General features: G+C 37.6%; 1 long non-coding RNA gene across 1 annotated transcript; it reads left to right on the forward strand.

The window, feature by feature from the left end:
• Positions 1–1,889: 1,889 nt before the first annotated feature.
• On the forward strand, positions 1,890–3,450 carry LOC124901255 (uncharacterized). Its single transcript, XR_007059442.1, has 2 exons — positions 1,890–2,103; positions 2,360–3,450. It is a non-coding gene; the product is annotated as an uncharacterized LOC124901255 (long non-coding RNA).
• The last annotated feature ends 689 nt before the right edge of the window (positions 3,451–4,139 follow it).

The following is a 4,139-nucleotide window of genomic DNA, read 5'->3' on the forward strand; positions in this document are numbered from 1 at the left end:
AGAGATTTGGAATGAGAGGTTGTATATGTAAAAGAGAAGACCTGCTTATAATTTAAGACTGATGAGGATGAAATCCATAGCACAAATGTAGAAATTAGCCTTAAGTAAGAGAAATGACATTTTTGAATTTTAGCAAGAAGGAAGTGAATAAAACTCATGCATAGATAATGGTTATAGATATTTATAGACAATTGCATATAAGTATAATAATGCACATCATTATTGATGTTTTGTATACCAGGCACTTTAACATTAAATGACTCATCCAACAAACATAAAACTCATGAGAAACCTGCGAGTTTGGGAATGAAACAAAGCAGAGATAGAAATGTAGTCCCAGCTACTCGGGAGGCTGAGGCAGGAGAATGGCGTGAACTCGGGAGGCGGAGCTTGCAGTGAGCCGAGATCACGCCACTGCACTCCAGCCTGGGCGACAGAGCGAGACTCCGTCTCAAAAAAAAAAAAAAAAAAAAAAAATCCTCCATCTTGACTGATCTTACTTAGTATAACATTACTGTGACAAGGTTTTACAAAAATGGTTTTGAAGAAGTCCAAAGAAGCCTGAGACTTAAAACACAGATGTTCAAGTAAGAGAGTGTGAATCTGTAATCATCTCTGTTTTCAACAAAGACATGGGGAATGAGACTCAAAACATTCATGTATTCATAGAAAATCAGGACATAAGTGGAGAAACAGAACAATTTAATTAGCATGATCTTCTAGGTAGCAGTAAATGGTCTATTTGTGTCGGGTTAATGAACTCTTCTAGGGCACTCAATAGAACCAGCGTGCCTTTAAAGGACTCATTGACCTCACAGGGATGAGCACTTTTTCTATCAGAGAGCCCTTTATTTACCAGTCTTTACACTCAGCAGGAGAAGGCCACATATTTATGAGGTATCAGCTTCCCACAGGTAAAGGAAGTGTTTTTCATGGGTTTATGCCCTGATACACACAACTAACATTAAAACTCCTGGTAGAATTGTTTGTATTCCTATGCATAAATAAAGTGATGCAGCATAGTATTGTTTAATTTTATCAGTGTAACACAGACATAAAATAACAATAAACATCCTACTAGGTGATATGTCTGAACTACAGCTTGATATTATTCAGTATTGAGAGTTGTGTGGCCAAAGTCAGAGTAGAGTTGGGCCAGTCGTTGGTAATTTTTAAAAAAATCTATACAACTGTGGCCTCTTTTCTGGAAATGAGCTGTAGCAATGCTTATATTACACCCCTCTGAGCATTCATACAGATAAAAAACATTTATTGGTCCTTACTGTATACTAAGCAAATTGGGTCATGATGAGGGAAAACAAAGAAAAGACATAAATAAATATCTAATCATGTACGTTCATTGTAACAGCACAAGCAACTGGTTTTATTTGAAGCATCCTCTGCTTTCTAGGTCTAAGCTAAGAAAGATAAAAAGAAAACAGAAAAATGCAAAACTAAGTCTTTCCCTTTATTTTAACAACTATCATGGCTCTTCATTTTTGTGTATGTCTTGTGAGCACAGGGGCTATTTTTTTCAAGGATGGTTATAGAATGAAGAGCCTTGGAATTTAGAGTCCCCCTCTGGCAGAAAAGGCCAATATGCTTTTAGCTGCTTATAAAACATTCAGGTATCCTGAGTTTAGGATTCCCCAGCTGTATGTGTTGATTGCCTCACACAAACCAACTGTATGTGAAAGATCCACCAGGGCCCTTCAGTATTACCCTCTAGGATTTGGAAGGCAAGAGGCAATATGATTCAGCACAGACATGATGCCCATGCTGCTTGCTGTACTGTGAGTCATAAAGTCCTTGTCTCTGAACCAGGAGTCTCACGTCTTCTGCTAGCAACCAAGAAACTATGGCAGGCTAATTTGTTCATGTCCAAATAGGATAAAAATCTCAGACATATTGCAGTTCTTCACAATCCTTCCCCATTAATTTGCTTATATTTTTTATGGGTTTCCTTCCTAGGGGCATCTATGTAAATCATTTGGAGTTTTTGCCTTTCCTCTTAGAAGAAAAATATGAATGATTTGACTGAACAGGCCTATAGCCAAACCCAAGATGATCTTTCCAAGCGTGAACTCCATCTTCAAACTTCTAGTGAGTCTGAGGCCGCAACTGGAAAAATTTAGAAATAATTTCTAATTCTTGAAATCTTTGAAATGTCAAAACATTAAAACTTTAAGTTTTTGTATCTTGTTTAATGTTTAACAATTTTCTGAAACTTTGGAAATTATGTAGGTATTCTATTTTGTTAGTTTGGCTTAGCATATATAAATAGAGCTATGTCTACATATTAATAGTAGTCTTGTTTTACCTTACCTTTGTTTTTTTGTTGTTGTTGTATGCCATCTAGATCTTAAACCTTAAAGAAGAAACTATGGCAATGTCTCTTCCACCACTCTTGACTAGCATGATGTGTTGCCAAAAGACTTCAGATCATAAGTGCGAAATAAAAAATCAAAAATTGACTGCATCTTTTCTCATTGCTCAACAACTGTCAAACAACTGAGAAATTTGTTTTGGATGAAGCAGTAACATTCCTTCTTCCACTCCCAGCCCCATTCCACGTAGTCTGCAGTTCCTCACTGACCACTGATTGATGTCAACGTGCAAACTCTCAGACAGAAGACAAGAAATATGTCCTGGGTTTTCTGGTTCCTCAAGCTTCTGACTAGGACCAGAGCCAGCAATTACACACACTTATCCCTATTCTTTCCATGAATGCAGAGAAAGAAAGACCTTCTTGGGCTGTAAGAAATACTCTATTCCTCACACATAATAACTAAGGCTCAGCAGCTTGTAAAAAGGCATGGTCCAGGGCATGTCAGGACAAGGAAGAGCGGTAAGTTGTTTCTCTGTCTTTCCTCTGTATTCTTTCATAATTGGGACAAGGCCTCAGCTGACAAGGAGCTGGCAGAACACTGGGGACAGCTGGTATGTAAGAACCAACACCGTCCCATCAGTCATTTATTCAACACATGTTTATTGAGTATCTGCAACGTGACTGCACCGTTATAGAGTCTGCATTGTTGTAGGTCCTGAGAAAAAAACTGCAAAGCAAAAGTACACACAGGCTTGCCCTCCTGAAATGTACAGTCAGGTGGAGATGGCAGATATTAAGAAACTAACTTGTGCTATTGAAGTTTAAAAGAAAGGGATCTTACTGAGTCTGAGGAGAGGGATGAATCAATGCAGACTTCCTAGAAGAACTGGCATATAAACCAAGAACTGAAAGAGGAATAGACATTAAACCAGAAAACAGAATGGAAGAAAAATAGATTTACGATGCAAAAACCGTAAAGGAAAGAGTTCAGTATGACTGGAATATATAGACAGAAGATAATGGTTTATGATAAGACTGAAAAGGAATGCAGGGTCTAGATAAAGAGACTCTTCAAATTAGTAAGAATTTTTTTGAGACAATAAAAGACCATTTTGCTTTGGCAAAATAATAATAATAATAACACTCAGTGTAGTGTGAACTATAAATTTAGGAGAGCAAGAGTAATTGTGGGGAAATCAGTTAAGAGACTTGCTTTAGCCAAGAAAACAGTTGATGTTGGATTAAACCATGGAGAAGATAATGGAGATAATGACAAGTGGACAGATTTTGGAAATCAATATCTTTTGGTAATTAATTGAACATAGGAGAAAGAAGAAAAGATGGGGTTACATAGGACTCTGAAATTTCTGAACAATCAGCTGGGAAGATGATAGCATTATTTGTTGTGTAAAGAACATGAGAAGAGGCTCGGGATTGGAAGGACACATGAGGAGCTCTGGTTTTGACACAGTGAGTGTGGTATATGGGCTCTCACTTACGTGGGTCTAGAGCTAAGAAGAGAAGTCATGGGTTGGACGCAAAAGTGTGGGTTTTGGCAGCATTTAGGTAGTAAAAATTTGGCAAATGGTTAAGAGTATATTACAGGAAAAGAAAATAATTTAGGTCAGAGTCCAGAGGAAAGCATACATTTAACACAGAAGAATAAAACCTGAGAAATAACTGGTAAACGAGATTAGGAAGCAGTCAGAGAGGAAGAAAGCCAGGAGGATACGGTGTGGCATGGAAGCCAATGGAGAGATTGTTTCAAGAAGAAGAAGATAGTTAACAGTAGGGAATTATCAACATAGAG

This window comes from Homo sapiens, chromosome 6 (genome assembly GCF_000001405.40).
Source record: "Homo sapiens chromosome 6, GRCh38.p14 Primary Assembly".
Taxonomy (NCBI): Eukaryota; Metazoa; Chordata; class Mammalia; order Primates; family Hominidae; genus Homo; species Homo sapiens.